This window comes from Homo sapiens, chromosome 2, assembly GCF_000001405.40.
Source record: "Homo sapiens chromosome 2, GRCh38.p14 Primary Assembly".
NCBI lineage: Eukaryota > Metazoa > Chordata > Mammalia > Primates > Hominidae > Homo > Homo sapiens.
The window spans coordinates 92,067,974-92,089,107 of record NC_000002.12 but is presented as its reverse complement, the minus strand read 5'-3'; the positions used below and the strand labels follow the sequence as shown (position 1 = coordinate 92,089,107).

The 21,134-nt window shown below is 39.4% G+C and overlaps 8 annotated features.

The window, feature by feature from the left end:
- Positions 1,873 to 2,840: an enhancer, noted in NCBI's record as "OCT4-NANOG hESC enhancer chr2:92274294-92275261 (GRCh37/hg19 assembly coordinates)". NCBI's record gives its function as "activates a minimal SCP1, AML or CMV promoter by ChIP-STARR-seq in naive H9 embryonic stem cells {active_cell/tissue: H9 hESC(naive)}" and the evidence as "EXISTENCE:reporter gene assay evidence [ECO:0000049][PMID:30033119]".
- Positions 3,186 to 3,717: an enhancer, noted in NCBI's record as "OCT4 hESC enhancer chr2:92273417-92273948 (GRCh37/hg19 assembly coordinates)". NCBI's record gives its function as "activates a minimal SCP1, AML or CMV promoter by ChIP-STARR-seq in naive and primed H9 embryonic stem cells {active_cell/tissue: H9 hESC(naive and primed)}" and the evidence as "EXISTENCE:reporter gene assay evidence [ECO:0000049][PMID:30033119]".
- Positions 3,844 to 4,434: an enhancer, noted in NCBI's record as "OCT4-NANOG hESC enhancer chr2:92272700-92273290 (GRCh37/hg19 assembly coordinates)". NCBI's record gives its function as "activates a minimal SCP1, AML or CMV promoter by ChIP-STARR-seq in naive and primed H9 embryonic stem cells {active_cell/tissue: H9 hESC(naive and primed)}" and the evidence as "EXISTENCE:reporter gene assay evidence [ECO:0000049][PMID:30033119]".
- Positions 7,137 to 7,695: an enhancer, noted in NCBI's record as "OCT4-NANOG-H3K27ac hESC enhancer chr2:92269439-92269997 (GRCh37/hg19 assembly coordinates)". NCBI's record gives its function as "activates a minimal SCP1, AML or CMV promoter by ChIP-STARR-seq in naive and primed H9 embryonic stem cells {active_cell/tissue: H9 hESC(naive and primed)}" and the evidence as "EXISTENCE:reporter gene assay evidence [ECO:0000049][PMID:30033119]".
- Positions 7,696 to 8,254: an enhancer, noted in NCBI's record as "OCT4-NANOG-H3K27ac hESC enhancer chr2:92268880-92269438 (GRCh37/hg19 assembly coordinates)". NCBI's record gives its function as "activates a minimal SCP1, AML or CMV promoter by ChIP-STARR-seq in naive and primed H9 embryonic stem cells {active_cell/tissue: H9 hESC(naive and primed)}" and the evidence as "EXISTENCE:reporter gene assay evidence [ECO:0000049][PMID:30033119]".
- Positions 8,298 to 9,029: an enhancer, noted in NCBI's record as "OCT4-NANOG hESC enhancer chr2:92268105-92268836 (GRCh37/hg19 assembly coordinates)". NCBI's record gives its function as "activates a minimal SCP1, AML or CMV promoter by ChIP-STARR-seq in naive H9 embryonic stem cells {active_cell/tissue: H9 hESC(naive)}" and the evidence as "EXISTENCE:reporter gene assay evidence [ECO:0000049][PMID:30033119]".
- Positions 9,030 to 9,763: an enhancer, noted in NCBI's record as "OCT4-NANOG hESC enhancer chr2:92267371-92268104 (GRCh37/hg19 assembly coordinates)". NCBI's record gives its function as "activates a minimal SCP1, AML or CMV promoter by ChIP-STARR-seq in naive H9 embryonic stem cells {active_cell/tissue: H9 hESC(naive)}" and the evidence as "EXISTENCE:reporter gene assay evidence [ECO:0000049][PMID:30033119]".
- Positions 16,036 to 16,535: an enhancer, noted in NCBI's record as "H3K4me1 hESC enhancer chr2:92260599-92261098 (GRCh37/hg19 assembly coordinates)". NCBI's record gives its function as "activates a minimal SCP1, AML or CMV promoter by ChIP-STARR-seq in naive H9 embryonic stem cells {active_cell/tissue: H9 hESC(naive)}" and the evidence as "EXISTENCE:reporter gene assay evidence [ECO:0000049][PMID:30033119]".

Sequence of the window (21,134 nt, the reverse complement as noted above, 5' to 3'; positions counted from 1 at the left end):
GAGAATGCTTCTGTCTAGATTTTATACGAAGATATTCACGTTTCTAACGAAATCCTCAAAGCTATCCAAATACCCCTTGCAGAGTCTACAAAAAGAGTGTTTCAAGAGTCTTCTCTCAGAAGAAATGTTCAACCCTGTTAGTTGTGTACACATATCACAAACTGGTTTCTGAGAATGCTTCTGCCTAGTTTTTATGGGAAGATATTTCCTTTTTCACACTAGGCCACAAAGCACTCCAAATGTCTAGTTCCACATACTACAAAATCATGATTTCATAACTGCTCTATGAAAGGGAATGTTCAACTCTGGGACTTGAATGCAATCCTCACAGAGATGTTTCTGAGAATGCTTCTGCCTAGGTTTTATAAGAACTTATTCCCGTTTCCAACCTAATCCTCAAAGCTATCCAAATATCCACTTGCAGATTCCACAAAAAGAGTGTTTCAAAACTGCTCTATCAAAGGAAAATCCAAATCGGTTAGTTGAGTACACACATTCCCAATAAGTTTGGGTGACTGCTTCCGTCTAGTTTTTATGTAAAGATATTTCCTTTTTCACCATAGGCCTCAAAGCGATCTAAATGTCCATTTCCAGATACTACAAAAATAGTGTTTCAAAGCTGTTCTATGAAAGGGAATGTAGAACTCTCTGACTTCAATGCAGACATCACAAAGGTGTTTCTGAGAATGCTTTTATCTAGATTTTATATGAGGATATTCCCATTTCCAAGGAAATCCTCAAAGCTATCAAAATATCCACTTGCAGATTCTATAAAAAGAGTGTTTCAAAACTGGTCTATCAAAAGAAAGGTTCTACTCCGTTAGTTGAGTAAACACATAACTAAGTAGTTTCTGAGAATGCTTCTGTGTAGTTTTTGTGGGAAGATATTTCCTTTTTCACCTTACTCCTCAAAGCGATCAAAATGTCCACTTCCAGATATGACAAAAAGAGTGTTTCAAACCTGCTCTATGAAAGGGAGTGATCAACTCTGCGACACGAATGCTAACATCCCAAAGAGGTTTCTGAGAATGCTTGTGTCTCTATTTCATATGAAGATTTTCCCGTTTCTAATGAAATCCTCGAAGCTATCTAAATATCCACATGCAGATTCTACAAAAAGTGTGTTTCAAATCTGCTCTATCAAAAGAAAGTTCACCTCTGTTTGTTGAGTTCACACATCACAAACAAGTTTATGAGAATGCTTCTGTCTAGTTTTTATGCGATGATATTCCCTTTTTCACCATAGGCCTCAAAGTGATCAAAATGTCCACTTCCAGATACTACAAAAAGAGTGTTTCATACCTGTTCTATGAAAGGGAATGATCAACTCTGTCATTAGAATGCTAACATCCCAAAGATGTGTCTGAGAATACTTCTCTCTAGTTTTTATGCGAAGATATTCCCTTTTTTCACCATAGGCCTCAAAGCGATCAAAATGTCCACTTCCAGATTCCACAAAAATAGTGTTTCAAACCTGCTCTATGAAAGTGAATGTTCCACTCTGTGACTTGAATGCTAACACCCCAAGGATGTTTCTGTGAATGCTTCTGTCTAGATTTTATATAGAGATATTCCCCTTTGCAACGAAATCCTCAAAGCTATCCAAATCCACATGCAGATTCTACAAAAAGAGTGTTTCAAAACTGCTCTATCAAACGAAATGTTCAGCTCTGTTAGTTGAGCACACACATCGCAAGGTAGTTTATGAGAGTACTTCTGTCTAGTTTTTGTGGGAAGATATTTCCTTTTTCACATTAGGCCACAAAGCGCTCCAAATGTCCAATTCCACATACTACAAATTCATTGTTTAAAACCTGCTCTATGAAAGGGAATATTTAACCTGTGACTTGAATGCAATCCTCACAGAGATGTTTCTGAGAATGCTTCTGTCTAGATTTTATATGAACATATCCCCTTTCCCAAAGAAATCCTCAAAGCTATCCAAATATCCACTTTCAGATTCTACAAAAAAAGTGTTTCAAACTGCTCTATCAAAAGAAAGGTTCAACTGTGTTAGTTGAGTAAACATATCACAAAGTTATTTCTGAGAATGTTTCTGTCTAGTTTTTATACGAAGATATTTCCTTTTTCACCATAGGTCTCAAAACGATGAAAATGTCCACTTGCAGATACTATAAAAAGAATGTTTCAAACCTGCTCTATGAAAGGGAATGTTCAACTCTTTGACTAGAATGCTAACATCCCAAAGATGTTTCTGAGAATGCTTGTGTCTTGATTTGATATGAAGATATTCCTGTTTCCAACGAAATCCTCAAATCTATCCAAATATCCACATGCAGATTCTAGAAAAAGAGTGTTTCAAAACTGCTCTATCAAAAGAAAGGCTCAACTCTGTTAGTTAAGTACACACATTCCAAGCAAGTTTAGGAGAATGCTTCCGTCTACTTTTTATGTGAAGATATCTCCTTGTTCACAATTAGGCCTCCATGTGATCCAAATATCCACTTCCAGATTCCACAAAAAGAATGTTTCAAACCTGCTCTATGAAAGGGAATGTTCAACTCTATTACTTGAATGCAAACATCCCAAAGATGTTTCTGAGAATGCTTCTGTGTAGATTTTGTATGAAGATATTCCAGTTTCCAATGAAATCCTCAAAGCTATCCAAATATCCCTTGCAGATTCTACAAAAAGATTGTTTCAAATCTGCTCTATCTTTTTTTTTATTATTAAAGGTATTTTTTTTTAATTATACTTTAAGTTTTAGGGTACATGTGCACATTGTGCAGGTTAGTTACATATGTATACATGTGCCATGCTGGTGTGCTGCACCCACTAACGTGTCATCTAGCATTAGGTATATCTCCCAATGCTATCCCTCCCCCCACTCCCCACCACAGTCCCCAGAGTGTGATATTCCCCTTCCTGTGTCCATGCGATCTCATTGTTCAATTCCCACCTATGAGTGAGAATATGCGGTGTTTGGTTTTTTGTTCTTGCGATAGTTTACTGAGAATGATGGTTTCCAATTTCATCCATGTCCCTACAAAGGACATGAACTCATCATTTTTTATGGCTGCATAGTATTCCATGGTGTATATGTGCCACATTTTCTTAATCCAGTCTATCATTGTTGGATATTTGGGTTGGTTCCAAGTCTTTGCTATTGTGAATAATGCCGCAATAAACATACTTGTGCATGTGTCTTTATAGCAGCATGAATCTGCTCTATCAAAAGAAAGGTTCAACTTTGGTAGTTCAGTAAACACATCACAAACTAGTTTCTGAGAATCCTTCCGCGTAGTTTTTAATGGAAGATATTTCCTTTTTCACCACAGGCCACCACTGGCTCCACATGTCCAGTTCCACAAACTACAAAATCAGTTTTTTCAAACCTGCTTCTTGAAAGGGAATGTTTAACTCTGTGACTTGAATGCAAACATCGCCGAGATGTTTCTGAGAATGCTTCTGTCTAGATTTTGTATGAAGATATTTCCTTTTCCAATGAAATCCTCAAAGCTATGCAAATATCCACTTGCAGATTCAACAAAAAGAGTCTTTCAATGCTGCTCTATCAAAAGAAAGGTTCAACTCTTTTATTTGTGTACACACATCACAAACTATTTTCTGAGAATGGTTCTGTCTAGTTTTTTTGGGAAGATATTTCCTTTTTCACCGTAGACCAAAAATGGCTCAACATGTCCGGTTGCAGATAATACAAAATCAGTGTTTCAAACCTGCTGTATGAAAGGGAATGTTCACCTCTGTGACTTGAATGCAAACATCACAGAGATGTTTCTGAGACTGCCTCTGTCTGTATTTTATATGAAGATATTCCCGTTTCCAAAGAAAATCCACAAATCTATCCAAATATGCTCTTGCAGATTCTACAAAAAGAGTGTTTCAAAACTGGTCTATCCAAAGAAATTTTCAACTCTGTTAGTTGTGTACACACATCACAACAAGTTTCTGAGAATGCTTCTGTGTAGCTTTTATGGGAAAATATTTCCTTTTTCACCATAAGAATAAAGCGATCAAATTGTGAGTTCCAGATACTACAAAAAGAGTATTTCAAACCTGCTCTATGAAAGGGAATGTTCAACTCTGGGACTTGAATTCAAACATCACACAGATGTTTCTGAGAATGCTTCTGTCTAGATTTTATATGAAGATATTCCCGTTTCCAACGAAATCCTCAAAGGTATCCAAATATCCTCTTGCAGATTCTACAAAAACGATGTTGCTAAAATGCTCTATCAAAAGAAAGGTTCAACTCTGTGAGTTGAGTACACACATCACAAACTAGTTTCTGATAATGCTTCTGTCTATTTTTTATGGGAAGATATTTCCTTTTTCACCATATGCCACAAAGCGATCCAAATGTTCTGTTGCAGATACTACAAAATCAGTGTTTCGAACCTGCTCTATGAAAAGGAATGTTCAACTCTGTGACTTGAATGCAAACATCACACAGATGTTTCTGATAATGCTTCTGTCTAGATTTTATATGAGGATATTCCCGTTTCTTAAGAAATCCTCCAACTATGCAAATATCCGTTGGAATCATCATCGAATTGAACCAAACCAAGTCATCATCAAATGGAATCGAATGGAATCATCTTTGAATGTAATCAAAAGGAATCATCATCGAATAGAATAGAATGGATTCATCGAATGGAATAGAATGGAATCATCATTGAAAGAAATCGAAGGGAATCATCGAATGGAATCAAACGGAATCATCGAATGGAATCAAATGGAATAACCATCAAATGGAATCAAATGGAATCATCAAATAGACTCGAATGGTATAATCGAATGGACTTGAATGGAATCATCAAATGGAATCGAATGGAATAATCGATTAGACTCGAATGGAATCATCATCAAATGGAATTGGATGGAATCTATGAAGGGACTAGAATGGACATGAATGGACATGAATGGAATCATCTAATGTACATGAATGGAATCAGCATCAAATGGACACAAATTGAATCATCGAATAGAATCAAAAGGAATCATCGTGGAATGGATTTGAATGGAATCATCATCTAATGGAAATGAATGGAATCATCATCGAAAGAAAATTGAATGGAACCATAGTTGATTGGAATCGAATGGAATCATCAATGAATGTAGTCGAATGCAGTCATCGAATGGAGTCCGTTGGAATCGTCATCGAATGGAACTGAATGCAGTCATCATCGAATGGTATCAAATGGTATCATGAAATGGACTCGATGGAATCATCATTGCATGGAATCAAATGGAATCCTCTAATGGACTCGAATGGAATTATCTTTGAGTAGAATTGAATGGAATAATTGAATGCACTCAAATGGAATCATGATTGAATGGAATCAAAAGGAATCAAGGAATCATCCAATGGACTTGAATGGAATCATTGAATGTACTCAAGTGGAATCATCATCGAATGGAATCGAATGTAATCAAATGGAATAATCGACTGGACTTGAATGGAATCATTGAATGTACTCGAATGGAATCATCACCGAATGGAATCAAATTTAATCATTGAATGGACCCGAATGGAAACACCATCAAATGTAAACAAATGGAATCATCAAATGGAATCGAATGGAACCATCATTGAATGGAATCGAATGGAATCGTCATTGAATGGAATCGAATGGAATAATCATGGAATGGAATCTAATGGAATCATCATCAAATGGAAATGAATGGAATCATAAACGAATGGAATCAAATGGAGAAATCGAATGGAATCCGTTGGAATCATCATCAGATGGAACCGAATGCAGTCATAATCAAATGGAATCGAATGGAATCATCAAATGGATTAGAATGGAATCATCATCTAATGGACTCGAATGGAATCATCATCGAATGGAATCAAACAGAATCATCAAATGGACTCGAATGGAATCATCGTTGAATGGAATCAAATGGAAACATCGAATGGCATTGAATGGAATCATGATCAAATGGAATCTAATGGAATCATCGAATGGCATCGAATGGAATCATCGAATGGACTTGAATGCAATCATCATGGAATGGAATCGAATGGAATAATCAAATGGACTCGAATGGAATCATCATCGAATGAAGTCGGATGCAATCATCATTGAACAGAATCAAATGGAATCACCGAATGGAATCAAATGAAATGAACATCGAATGGAATCGAAGGGAATTATCAAATGGGATTGAACAGAGTCATTGAATGGAATCATGTGGAATCATCGAATGGATTTGACTGGAATCATCATCGAATAGAATCGAATGGAATCATCGAATGGAATCAAATGAAATCATCATCGGATGGAATTGAATGAAATCATCACTGAATGGAATCGAATGGAGTCATTGCACAGAATCAGATGGAATCATTGATTGGAATCGAATAGAAGCATCGAACGATATCGAATGGAATCATCAATGAACGGAATTGAATGGACTCATCATTGCATGGACTCGAATGGAATCATCGTGAAATGGAATCGAATGGAAACATGATCGAATTGAATCAAATGGAATCATCATGGAATTGAATTGAATGGCTAATCATCGAATGGGATCGAATGGAAACATCATCGAATGGAATCAAATGGAATTGTCATCGAATGGAATCGAATGGAACCATTGAATTAAATCGGATGGAATAACGATTTAATGGAGTCAAATGGAATTATTGAATGGACTCGAATGGAATCATCAAATGGAATCTAGGGGAATCATCATTGAATGGAATCATCAAATGGACTAAAATGGAATCACTGAATTGACTCGAATGAAATCATTGAATGGACTTTAATGGAATCATCATCAAATGGAATCGAATGGAATCCTCGAATAGAATCAAATGGAAACATCAAATGGAATTGAACGGAATCATCATTGAATGGAATCGAATGGAATCTTCGAATGGAATCGAATGGAATCATCGAATGGAATTGAAGGCAATCATCATCGAATGGAATCAAATGGAATCATCGAACGGAATCCAAGGGAATCATCCTCAAGTGCAATTGAGTGGAATCTTTGAATGGAATCGATTGGAATCATTGTCGAATGGAATTGAATGGAATCAATGAATGGAATTGAATGGAATCACCAATGAATGTTCTCGAATGGAATCATCATCGAATGGAATCATCGAATGGACTCGAATGGAATCATCTTCGAATGGAACCTAATGGAATCATCATCAAATGGAACTGAAAGGAGTCATCATCGAATGGAATCACATGGAATCATCATCGAATGAAATCGAATGCAATCATCATCAAATGGAATCGAATGGAATCATCAATGAATGGAATCGAATGGAGTCATCGAATGAATTGAATGGAATCATTGAATGGCCTCAAATGGAATCATTATCAAATGGAATCGAATGGAATCACCAAATAGAATCGAATGGAATAATCATCAAATGGACTCGAATGGAATCAACATCAAATGGAATCAAATGGAATTATCGAATGGAATTGAAGAGAATCATCAAATGGACTCGATTGGAATCATCGAATGGAATGGAATGGAATGGAATAATCCATGGACTCGAATGCAATCATCATCAAATGGAATCGAATGGAATCATCAAATGGACTCGAATGGAATAGTCATCGAATGGAATCAAATGGAATCATCATCGGATGGAAACGAATGGAATCATCATCAAATGGAATCGAATAGAATTATGGAATGAAATCAAATGTGATCTTCATTGAATGGACTCGAATGGAATCATCATCCAATGGAAACTAATGGAATCAACATCGAATGGAATAGAATGGAAACACCTTCGAATTGAAACGAATGGAATTATCATGAAATAGAAATGGATGGACTCATCATCGAATGGAATCGAATGGAATCATTGAATGGAATTGATTGGAATTATCATCAAATGGAATCGAATGGAATCATTGAATGGAATCGAATGGAATCATCTTTGGATGGAAACGAATGGAATCATCATAGAATGGAATCAAATGGATTCATTGAATGGAATCAGATGGAATCATCGAATGGACTTGAATGGAATCATCGAATGGACCCGAATGGAATCATTATTGAATGGAATTGAATGGAATCATCGAATGGTCTCGAATGGAATCGAATTTAATCATCGAATGGAATCGAATGGAATCATCATCAAATGGAATCGAATGGAAACATCATCGAATAGAATCAAATGGGATCATTGAATGAAACAGAATGGAATCATTATCAAAACGAATCAAAATAAAACAAAGAATGGAATCCAACGGAATCATCGAATGGAATCAAATGGAATCATCGAATGGAATCAAATGGAATCATCATTGAATGGACTTGAATGGAGTCATCATCTAATGGAATCAAATGGAATCATTTAATGGACTCGAATGGAATCATTGAATGGACTCGAATGGAATCATCGAATGGAATCTAATGTAATCATCATCAAATGAAATCAAATGGAATCATTGAATGGAATCGCATGGAATCAGCTTCGAATGGAATCGAATGAAATCATGGAATGCACTCGAATGGAATCATCGAATGGACTCAAATGGAATCAACATTGAGTGGAATCGAAAGAAAACATTAAATGGAGTTGAATGGAATAATCAAATGGAATCATCATCGAATGTAATAGAATGGAATCATCAAATGGACCCAAAAGGAATCATCATCGAATGTAATCAAATGGAATCATCGAATGGAATCCAATGGAATCATCATTGAATGGAATCGAATGGAATCATCATCAAATGGAATCGAATCGAATCATCATCGAATGGAATTGAATGGAATCATCATGAAATGGAATCGAATGGAATCATCAATGAATGGAATCGAATGGAGTCATCAAATGGAGTCCGTTAGAATCATGGAACCAAATGCAGTCATCATCTAACGGAATCAAATGAAATCATCGAATGGACTCGATGGAATCTTCATTGCATGGAATCGAATGGAATCATCGAATGGACTCAAATGGAATTATCATCGAATGGAATCGAATGGAATCATCGATTGGACACAAATGGAATCACCATTGAATGGAATCGAATGGAATCTTCGAATGGAATCGAATGAAATTATTGAATGGAATCGAATAGAATCATCATTGAATAGAATCAAATTGGATCATCATCAAATGGAGTCTAATGAAATCATCATTGAATGGAATCTAGTGGAGTCATCATCTAATGGAATGGAATGGAATCAGCAAGGAATGGAATCTAATGGAGAAATCGAATGGAATCCATTGGAATCATCATCAAATGGAACCGAATGCAGTCATCATAGAACGGAATCAAATGAAATCAACAAAGGGACTCGAATTGTGTCCTCATTGAATGGAATCAGATGGAATCATCGAATGGACTCGAATGGAATCATCGAATGGACTCGAATGGAAACATCGTCGTATGGAATTGAATGGAATCCTCGAATGGACTCTAATGGAATCATCATCGAATGGAATCGAATGGAATTGAATTGAATCATTGAATGGACTCTAATGGAATCATCGTCGAATGGAATCGAATGGAATCATCAAATGGACTCGAATGGAATCATTGAATGGACTCGAATGGAATCATCATCGAATGGAATTGAGTGGAATCCTCTAATGGAATCAAATGGAATCATCAAATGGAATTGAAGAGATTTATAAGAAACTTACTTGAACCAAAATTAGAAAAACAAACAAACCAAAAGCCCCTAAAACTGTGATGAGCAAAGTAGACATCAGAACAGGAAATATCACTGGGGATGAAGAATAACATTTCAAAATGACAAAGGGGAAAATACATCAAGAAGTCATGTAAATAAGAAATATGTATGCACACAATAGCATTACTTCAAAATACATAATATAAAACCTATTAAAACTGAAAGGTAAAATAGTAAAACCACAGTCATCCATGGGGATTTCAACAGTCTCCTGCCATAAATATTTAAATTTTGTTAAACGAAAAGTTGGTAAGCGTAGAGAGGATCTTAAAAATATAATTAGCCAACTTGATCTAATTGAATCTTTTAGAATAATCTAAGGATGAGGAATGAGGTAGCAGAGAAAGAAAAGGCAGACATCAACGTGACGTTAGTGTTTCAAGGTTATGAGAATACACCAATGATGGTGTGTGTGTGTGTGTGTGCAGATGGTAAGCTCAATCTTAAAAATATTGAGTTTTAACTGACAATTCATTAGGAAAGATAAGAGGAAATGATATCTACTGAGAGGCTATATGACTGAGCTCTAAGAGAAAGGTCACAGCAGAAATTGTGTACTTGACAGCTCTATAAGGAGGTCAGTCAAAAATAAGTCAGTGATGAATTCTCTGGTGTAAAAGCAGATGAATGAGGATTAGATTTAAAACACATGGAAGCAGAGTGACTGATGATGAAAACATGAGCTTGAAAATCCTGCAGTGAGGGCTTTAAATCCTGGGTATGATATTCTGCTTGTGTAGGCAATAGTGGTAAAAACACAACAACAAAGAGGGGTAAAGAGCACTTTCCTTAGATATAAGTAAAGGGCACGTCTTATTGCATATATATATATAGGTATTCAACTGAGATTCAACATGTTTCTCTCATTGAAACATCAAGCTCTCCAGGCCTTCATGCTCCCAGTGAGGTAGGTAAACTTCTGATGATTATACTCACCCTCCCTCATTGCAAAGCTCCCATTGTTATTGTCTTGGCTCTGGATTCCCTCATAAATAGACTATGAAACAAATATTTGGGGTCAAATTCTTTAATCAGAAATTGAGTGAGAAAGCGCAGAAGTGGAGAAAATGAAACAGAACATGAAGCCAGTGTGAATGAGTAGTTACTGCTATGTGCTCAGTAATGATGGAGGTATGGAGATTGTCTCAAAATAACTTTACAAAGAGATGGGGATGGTGGAATCCCCATCTCTTATTGCTTAAGGATTGCCTTAGAATCATTAACTCTCCACCCCTAACTCCTTCCTTGTTCCTATGTGTGGTTGAGAAGCACTGGTTAGCCTCAAGAAGCTTGCAGGCAAGCCCAAAAATCAGAAAGACAGGCATGATGTGGGGAGCTCTCAGTTAGCTGGAAACAGGTGAATTTCAGGTGAACACATTGAGTCCAGGACATAGAAGACAAGTCATCAGCAATATCTGCTATAGCCAGTTTTCTTTTTCTTTTTAAGAATATATATACTTTTTATTGGGGTTTCCCAAGTCCCCCTTTGGTTTAATGATTCACATAACTCAAGAAAGCTGATTTTTCTTTTGTGGTTATAGTTTCTAACAGTGAAAGAAACCAGATTAAAATAATCAGAAGCATAAAAGCACATAAAATTGAGTCCAGGACAAACCAGATGTGAGCTTACAGGTGTCCTTTCATAGTGGAGACTTCACACTGACTAATTTTCTTTACAATGGTGTGAGACAACATGTGTGAACTTGTTGCCAACTAGGGAAGCTCAGTCAGTCTTGAGTCCAGGGTTTTTATTAGGATTCCACCACATACGCATCGAGCGTCCTGTGACTGAACTTAGCTATTTAGTTCCCAACCTCCCTATGCCCTAAGAGAGGTCATATTAATATGGCATTACACAAAGTCATAGGCATACAGAAACAGGTGCTCACAAGAAATCACGTTGTTACCATCAGTTATTTGGTATGACCTACGTTTTCAGGTATACAAAGACTCTCATCAGGCAGCATATACCAAGGGCTCATAGGTTATCATCTCCCAGGAGCTTGTCAAGGGCCAGTCCTGAAGACCTTTGGAATGTGCAAGGTTTTGGAAAGCCATCTCTGCAGAATTAACCCTTCATTACACAACTACCAATAATTGTTTTTATCTTTAAAAATGTTTTTTGATCTTTGACAGTGTACCAACCAATACTGAGTAATTAGTAACAACAGTGTACTCCTGAGTACTTGCACCTGCAAGGAGAAAAAGGACAGATACACTTACATAGGACAGATGCAAATAGACACCACTATGACAAGTAAAGCTGGAATAATCAATAAATTCCTAAAGACAAAGTGGGGCTGGTCAGATTGGGAGACCGCTGACAGCTGCAGAAGTTGGGAAAGATCCATCATCTTGAAAACGTTTTCCCCACAAACCCACTGTGATGTCTCAGGCAATTGGTAAGGAATCCAAGAGAGTCTGTATATGATACAGGTCAGGGAGAGCAGAACACTTGGGAGGTGACCAGGTCTTGGGGGCCGAGCCCTTATGAATCGGATTAGTGCCTTTATAAAAGAAGCTCAATGGAGTTCTTGTGTGCCTTCCACTGTGTGAGGACATAGAAAGAAGGCACCATCTATGAACCATGAAATGGGCTCTCATCAACACTGAATTTGGGAGCATCTTGACCTGAGATCTTACAGCCTCAAGAAGTGTGAAAAAAGAAATATCTGTTGTTTTTTAGTCACCCAGCTTATGTTATTTTGTCATAAGAGTCCAAATAGACCGAGATATTCCACTTAATATGTAGGGGAAGGCAACAAAAACTGCCACACTTAGAATACTCCTGATACTGGGAGTATGAAAACAGGAAAAACAAAACAAAACTGCTCTTGAAGGTGAAGGAGGAATATCACTGAGCTCACCAACACAGCCAGGAAAAGAACAGAAGTGTGAGAAGGCTACATTCCTGAGACCCTGAGAAAAAGTACCTGCATAAGACTGAGATGAAATTACCTACTCTAGTTATGATTGAAATCCCAAAAAGAAAAGAGGGAAAAATAATGGAGCAAAAGAAATATATTTCAAAATAACTGCCAAAAATATTCTAAAAGAAGTGACAGAAAATCAAACTTCAGATAAAGGAAACTCAGAGAATGTCAAATAGAACAAAAAGAAATAAGAATTCCATCTTGAAAAATCTTTAAAAAATCAAGTCTAAATATTATATCTTGCTCCAAATATATAGAGATATAAATAGGTTATCATCAAGATATGGAGAAAGCCGTATCATGGAGACACTAAAATAAAGCTGTGGAAGGACTACATTGATACTAGACACAACAGAGTTCAGAACAAGAAATAGTATCAGAGATGAGAGATAATAAATAATATAATAATCAATTCTCAAGATGTAAACATCCTACTAATTAGGGTACGCAGCTAATAACAGAACCTCCAAATACATGAGGTAAAACAGGAAAGAAATCAAAGGCGAACTAGAAAAATCCAAAATTATATTTGCACACTTCAACACTTTTGTCTTAGTAATGGACAGACTAGGCACCAACTCAGTAATCATATGGAAGATAAGAACAACAATATCACCAACAAGACATCCAATCTTCAATGTCAGATACTCTTTCCTTTCAAGTGAAAAAAAAAATAGTATGGCATATTCTCTAACAAACCCAGAATTTATAATATTTGCGTTCTTCCTTCCTTCTTTCCATCTTCCTTTCTCCTCTTCCCTTGCCTTCTTCCTTCCTTTCTTCTTTTCCGCTTTCTTTTCCTTTCATTTTTCTCCTTCCTTCCTTCTTTCCTTCCCCTTATTCTTCCTTCCCTCCTCCCTCCCTTGCTTTCTCCCTCCCTTTTCTTCCTTCTTTTCTCTTACTCTTTCTCACTTTCTTTCCTTTTTCTCCCTTCCTCCCTCCCTTTTTTCCTTTTTCTCCCTTCCTCCCTCCCTTTTTTCCTTCCTCCCTCCCTTCCTTTCCTTTTTGCTTCCTTCCTCCTTTCTATTTTTTTGTTTGCCTTCCTCCATTTTACCGTTCTCCTTTCCTCCTTTCCTTCCTCTTTCCTTCTTTTCTCACTTTCTTTCTTTTTCTTTCTTGAGTTCTTGCTTTGTTTTTTCTCCTTTCCTGCCTTTCTCCCTTCCTCCCTCCCTTCTCTCATTTCCTCCTTTTCTTTCTTCTTTCCTTCCTTCCTTCTTTTTTCTTTCTTTTCTTTCTCTTTACTACAATTCATATTATTTAAAAAAAATTAAGAAAGAGAGGCAGAAAAATAAAGAACACTTTAATCTGCAGGTAAATAGATTATGTCTGTTGTAGACAAAATAATGGCCTCCCAGAAATGTTCATGTCTTAATTCCCAGAGTCTAACATACAAATATGTTAGGTTGCATGGCAGTGGGAAATTAGATTTCAAGTGAAATTAAGGTTCCAAAGGCAGCGGGGGCAAAAGGCCACGGCGGCAAAAAGGCGCGGCGGCAGGGGCAAAAAGCCATGGTGGCGGTTGGAGAAAGATGCAGCGGTGGGGGCAAAAAGCCGCGCTGAGGGGGGTAAAAAGCCGCTGAGGTGAAGGCAAAAAGGAGCGGGAGTGGGGGCAAAAAAAACACAAAAAGCCGCGGAGGCTGGGGGAAAAAGCCACGGTGGCAGGGGGCAAAAAAGCTGCAGCGACGGGGGTGAAAACCTGCAAAAAGCCAAGGCGGTGGGGGCAAAAAGCCTCGGTGGCGGAGGTGAAAAACCGCGGTGGCGGGGACAAAAAGCTGTGGCGGTGGCGGTTAAAAAAAAAGCCGCGGCGGCAAAAACCCACGGCGGCAGGGTCAAAAACCCGCGGTGGTGGGGGAAAAAACAGCGGTGGCATAAATCCGCGGAAGCGGGGACAAATAGCCCCAGTGGCGGGTGCAAAAAGCCGCAGCGGTGAGTGCAAAAAGCCGTGGCTTCAGGGGCAAAAAGCTGCAGGGGCAAAAAGCCATAGTGGCAGGGGCAAAAAGCCGTGGCGGCAGGGGGCAAAAAGCCGCAAAAAGCAGCGGTGGTGGGAACAAACACCGCGGCGGCAAAAAGCCTCAGCGGCGGGGGCGAAAAGCCACAAAAAGCCGCGGTGGCGAGGGTAAAAAGCTGTGGCTTCAGGGGCAAAAAGCCACAGTGGCAAAAAACCGTAGCGGTGGGGCAAAAAGCTGCGGCGGTGGGGGCAAAAAGCAGCAGGAGCGGGGCCAAAAAAATCACAAAAACCTGCTTAGAAGGGGGAAAAATTCACGGGGGAAAAAAGCCGCCCTGGCGGGGTGCAAAAAGCCGCAAAAAGCAGCGGCGGTAGGGGCAAAAAGCGCGGCGGCAAAAAGCCTCAGTGGCAGGAGCCAAAAGCCACGGTGGTGGGGGCAAAAAGCCGCGGCTGAAAAAGCCGTGGTGGTGGGCTCAAAAAGCCTCGGTGGTGGGGATAAAAAGCTGTGACTGCAAAAAGCCACGGCGGAGGGCCCAAAAAGCCATGGCGATGGGGATAAAAAGCCACAGTGGGGACAAAAAGCCACCGTGGCGGATAGTAAAATGCCGCAAAAAGCCGCGGCGGCAAGGGCAAAAAGCTGTGGCTTCAGGGGCAAAAAGCTGTAGCGGTGGGGCAAAAAGCCGCAGCAGCGAGGGCAAAAAGCTGTGGCTTCAGGGGCAAAAAGCCATAGCGGCGGGGCAAAAAGCCGCGGCAGCGGCGGGGGTGGAAAAACCACAAAAACCCGCAGCAACGGGGGGAAATAGCTGAGGGGGCAAAAAGCCCCGGCGGCGGGGGGAATAAAGCCGCAAAAAGCAGCAGCGGTGGGGGCAAAAACCACGGCGGCAAAAAGCCTCAGCGGCAGGAGCAAAAAGCCACGGCAGTGGGGGCAAAAACTGCGGTGGCAAAAAGCCTCAGCAGCAGGAACAAAAAGCCACGGCTGCGGGCACAAAAAGCCGCGGCTGCAAAAAGCCACGGTGGTGGGCCCAAAAAGCCACGGCGGTGGGGATAAAAAGCCGCAGCTGCAAAAAGCAGCAGCAGTGGGGATAAAAAGCAGTGGCGGCAAAAACCCACGGCGGCAGGGGCATAAAGCCGTGGTGGCGCAGGCAAAAAGCCACGGTGGCGAGGGCAAAAAGCTGTGGCTTCGGGCGCAAAAAACCAAGGCGGCAAAAAGCCGTAGTTGTGGGGCAAAAAGCCGCAGCGGTGGGGGCAAAAAGCAGTGGGAGCGGGTGCAAAAAACCCACAAAAACCCGCGGTGACGGGGGGGATAAGCCGCGGGGGCAAAAAGCCGCAGCGGCGGGGTGGGGCAAAAAGCCGCGGTGGTAGGGGGGCAAAAAGCCCCAAAAAGCAGCAGCGGCGGGGGCAAAAACCGCGGCGGCAAAAAGCCTCAGCAGCAGGAGCAAAAAGCCATGGCGGCGGCGGCAAAAAGCCGTGTCAGCAAAAAGCCACGGGGGCAAAAACCCGTGGCGACAGGGGCAAAAAGCTGTGGCTTCAGAGGCAAAGAGCCACAGCAGCAAAAAGCCATATTGGCGGGGGCAAAAAGCCGCAAAAAGCCACAGCACCAAGGGCAAAAAGCCGTGGCTTCAGGGGCAAAGAGCTGCAGTGGCAAAAAGCCGCAAAAAGCCATGGTGACGGGGGGCAAAATTCCACGGCGGTGGGGGTAAGAAGCCACGGCGGCAGGGGCAAAATCTGTGGCGGGAGAAACCCGCAGCGGCGGGGGCAAAAAGCCGTGGCAGTGGTGATGAAAAGCCACAATGGCGGGGGCAGAAAGCCGCGAGGCGGGGGAAAAAGCCGCAGTCGCGGGGGCAAAAAGGCACGGCGGCGGGCGCAAAAAGCCACAAAAAGCTCCGGTGGTGGGTCAAAGAGCCGCAAAAAGCCCCAGCGTTGGGAGCAAAAAGCCGCGGCGGCGGTGGCAAAAAGCAGCAGAGGCAAAAACCCGCGGCAGTGGCGGCAAAAAGCCTCGGTGGCAGGGGCACAATAGTGGAAATGGAGTAGAAGGCCAACAGAGCTAGGCATTCCTGGACTGTGATGTGGAAGGAAAAGTGCAGCGGAAGACAAAGATGTAAGTAGGCTTGACTCAGTGCAGCTAAGAACTCAGATGTGAACTTGATGTTATCTATCAGCTAATTTTTTGTATTTTAGTAGAGAAGGGGTTTTACCACGTTGGCCAGGATTGTCTGGATCTCCTGACCTCATGATCCACGCACCTCAGCCTCCCAAAGTGATGGGATTAAAGGCATGAGCCACAAAGGGCTCAAAAAATCTATTAATTAAAAAATGTGTATGTAGCCGTCTTCATTCTACCATGTCCATTAGCAGATAAATACTACAAGCAAAATAACAACAATGAAATAAACATAGACTTAGAGTAGATACTCTGATTTATTTAATAAAAATTTGAAAGTAGACCAAATTACTCTATGTTAAAAAAAAATCTGTTACTATTGAGGATGAGGGTTAGTGTTTGGAAAGGGACAGGAGAAATATCACTATTTTTAGTAATGTTCTATTTTCGTACATGGCTATAAGCAAATACATGTGTTTCATTAATCAAGCTATCATATTTAATCATTGTACTTTTCTGCATGTATATGTCAATAAAATGTCTTAAATTATATACAGCAAAAATAGACAAAACCACAACAAGACATACATGAATGTTAAACCTAGAGAGAAATTTGAATATAAGTAAGTCTCTGAATGACTGCTAGAACAAACCAAAAAATAATCAGGATGGAGAGCTTTGGAACAGCATGACTAGCAAAATTGACATATCTGTCTTTTAATATAGGCAGAAACATAGTTAGATAAAAAAAGGACTTGTCTCAGAGTATGATTTCTGAAAATAGTGGAATCGAGTTTGAATCTAGTAAGTACATATAAATAAATGTCTTAAAACTCCTCTTATGTTAGCTAATTAAGAAATATTATTGTAATAGATATTAGAAAATATTTTAATAAATTGAGTGGATTTCACACGCTAAGGAAATGATCTTACTTGCATTTGATAGTTCAATTAGATACATATATACCTATAGGTAGTTTAAAATATTTCTAATAACCTTATATACTTTTAAAAAGCATTGATATCTGTTTGCACTATCTGTTCTATAGAGTACACATACCAAAAATGATTATAGCTCTTCTGCTATAAACTTCAAATGTCTAATTAATACAAAAATCTAGAATGAGAAGAGTTCTTTGCATTTTTTTTTTTTTACCAAATAGAATATAGGAAGGATAGCTGCAAATATACCTGACACACTTATCTGTGAGTATGGTGGTAGCCTTTTTATTTTACTTTTTTTATTTTTGAGAGAGGGTCTCACTTTGTCACCCAAGATGTAGTGCAGTCATATGATTAGAGCTCACTGAAGCCTTCACATACTGTGCTCAAGCGATTCTCCCACCTCAGCCTCCTGAGTAGCAGGGACTGCAGGTGCATGACACCATACTAGCTAATTTTTGTGAAGATGGGGTTTCACCATGTTGCCCTGGCTGATCTCCAACTCCTGGACTCAAGAGATCTGGCCACCTTGGCCTCCCAAAGTGCTGGGATTATAGTTTTGAGGCACCGCGATCAGCCCAGCCTTTAAAAAGTCTGACTAGAAATCTTTATCTATGTATATCTATATCTATCTATAAAAAATGTGTTTATTATATAAAAATATATATTATTAATATTATATAAAATTTTTTTTTCAAGGTAGAAATATATAAAGAGGGTGCATGTAGAGCCTGGGTCATTGTGTAGTGAAGCTCAAAGCCTCTGAAGAAATGCCCCTTGCCTCTTTTGTCTGGGCTAGAATCCAAGAAGGGAAAGCAGAAGATGCACTGGTTCCCAGGTTCTTGACATAATACAGAGAGAAACTTGTTTGAGCTAGGGTAGCGTTAAACACCCTTGTTCTTACTCTCCTGTTTTATGTAGTGAGTGGAGACTAGCTTCATGAGAACAGACTGTGACAGCCAAGGCTGTCTGATATTTTGTGCAGCATTAATTGAGAAATTCTAGCACCTGAAGACCTCTGGGCCATTTGAGGGTAGGTGCAGGGGAGGAAAGGGAAGTTTGCATCCCTCCTGCTGTGGAGAGAACCCGTGGGAAGCACAGACCTTGTCCTAACTGAAGGCAGACCACTTTGCTAACCAGCTTCTCATCAGCCAACCCTGGATGAGTTTCCATGTCTATTTACTAAATAATCCTTATTGCTTTTCTTCATATGGGCAAAGTATGGTTTACAGGGAATATTGTTCCTTTGAACACCCATTGTGCAAACTCCTCCCTGTTGTGGGAAAACAGGCTTCCATATGTGTCTTATTGGGAAACACATAGGCAATTTCTATATTTTTACTGCATCTATTTCAGGGATAAGGGAACTGAATAGTGCCCATCAAAGGCTCACCTGATGTTGGAAATTGATATGAGAGCGCGGAAGGACAGAATTCTTTCTTTGTTTCTGGGCAGCGTGGTTGAGGGATCATTTTATGGCAGCTACAGTGGCAATGATGGAGGCAGAACGGAGGGCTCAGTACCAAGACGAGGAGAGACTTGGCCTCACAATGGCAGCATTGCATTGGTGCGCTCTACAGAGCATTTGCTCACATGGTTTTGGGAATTGTCTCTAACTACATTGCTTCCCCAATAGGTTGACCCATTCTAAATAACTCCTTTTCTCTTTAAAACAGAAAACTTCATTTGTATGACTTGCAATTGTAAATGACACCAATTGGCCAGTTATCATTCAAATTCTCTGTTACTTAATCCTGCCTTTTCCTAACGTATGCAACTTTCCCCTAAAAAATTGGACACTTTGTTGCTTACTCATTGTCTTTACACATTTTAAAATGTTGCTTGATGCCCCCAATCCCTACTACATTTTCGATGTTTTGCAAGTGGAGTCCATGTGTTCTTGATTTACATGAAGCTCAAAATAATGGTTATAGTAACTAGTACTTCATAATTAAGCAAAAAGCTCTTATTGAAAAATGACAGAACTATACATTGAGATGACAACATGGAGAGATATTTCCTGAGATCACAAAGTTATGGTATGGCAGAACTAGAACGTTGAGTAGAGACTCTGTTCCCAATCTTTATTTCTACCACCAGCTTTCTATTTTGATGTTAATAATGTTCTTATGTGGGAAACCCTACATATTTGCCAATGTTTAGTTCATTGACAAAGAAATAGAAAGAGATTCAAGAACACTCTAATCTTTAAGAAATAAAATATCAATAATTGGCCATACGAAAAAATTGATACTTGACATATACTGAGATCGTTTTATTTTGTGCTAGACAAATGAAGTCATATAACAGAATGTGCTTTAAATATTATGAATAGTGCTTGCGTGTGTGTGTGTGTGTGTGTGTGTGTTTATACATGCGTATTAGGCCGCTGAAAAGTTTTACTGTTCTTTCCAGGAGAGAGACTGCCAACTTTTGAACCTAATTAGAACAAGTATATTGCTTCTTCATATTTTTATTAAGGCAAAGAGAGTCTAGTTAAAAATAATTCAACTTATCATGGAAATGCTGTAAATTGCTGTGAAGTGAGTTGCTGGCTATCGCTTGTCAGAACAAATATATTGTACAAATCTTAGGGGAGAATTAGTGCTTATGCATTCAAATGAAATCATCTTGGAGCACACTGAGAAAAAGTTTAGATTTTTAAAATAATTTCGAAGTCATGAAAAGAGCATATATGCTCAACAAAGAGCCTAGCAACCCTCAATTACCAATTCCCCTTTTATATAGTTTGGTATCTGAATTAGAATCTCAGAATCTACAAATTCCTCTGGGTATGGGTGCTGCATTCTGAGGATTTTATAATACTGTCATCACCAAGCTCTCTTTTGATATTCACTTTAAGGAGATAATTTACGGGCAACCAGAGAGCATAAACCAAAGTAGATATCTATCTAGATAGATACATCTCCATATCATTGACAGGATACCTTCTGGCCGAGTGTGAGTACAACCTATGGGTGTGGTTGGAGAGAACATGTGTTCCACCTGAATGGCAGATCAAGATTATTCCTTCTTATCTGCTGCAATGGCTCAATGTGTTAAGGAGAGGAGCGAGACAGCAAGAACTACATTCATTCAGTCATACAGACCAAAAGGAGGAATGTCGCCCAGCCCTCTAAACTGACCCAGAACCCAGCTCATGTCTCAACTGCTACCTCTACTACTTAGAAAGAAGTAACTCCGCCAAAGCAGGGTTCTGGACAAATATATTTTTATTGATCTTATACAAATAGATGAAGATGGACTTGGATGTTAAGAAAAATAATACTATACAAAATCAAGAGTAGACAGTTGCCCCTAGACTTAAATTAAAAGTGTGTGCATTAGATAATTTAATCCAATGTATCAGGTAAAAACATGAACAAACCTTTTGGCCTCTTCCATAAAATTCAGGGAAGCATGTCCTCCACAAAACAGAATCAAAATATAAATGAAAGACTGGCTTAAGATGAAAGGAAACCTTATAAATGAAAAGAAGCCAGATGAGAGGCGCTTAACTGAGAATGAAAAA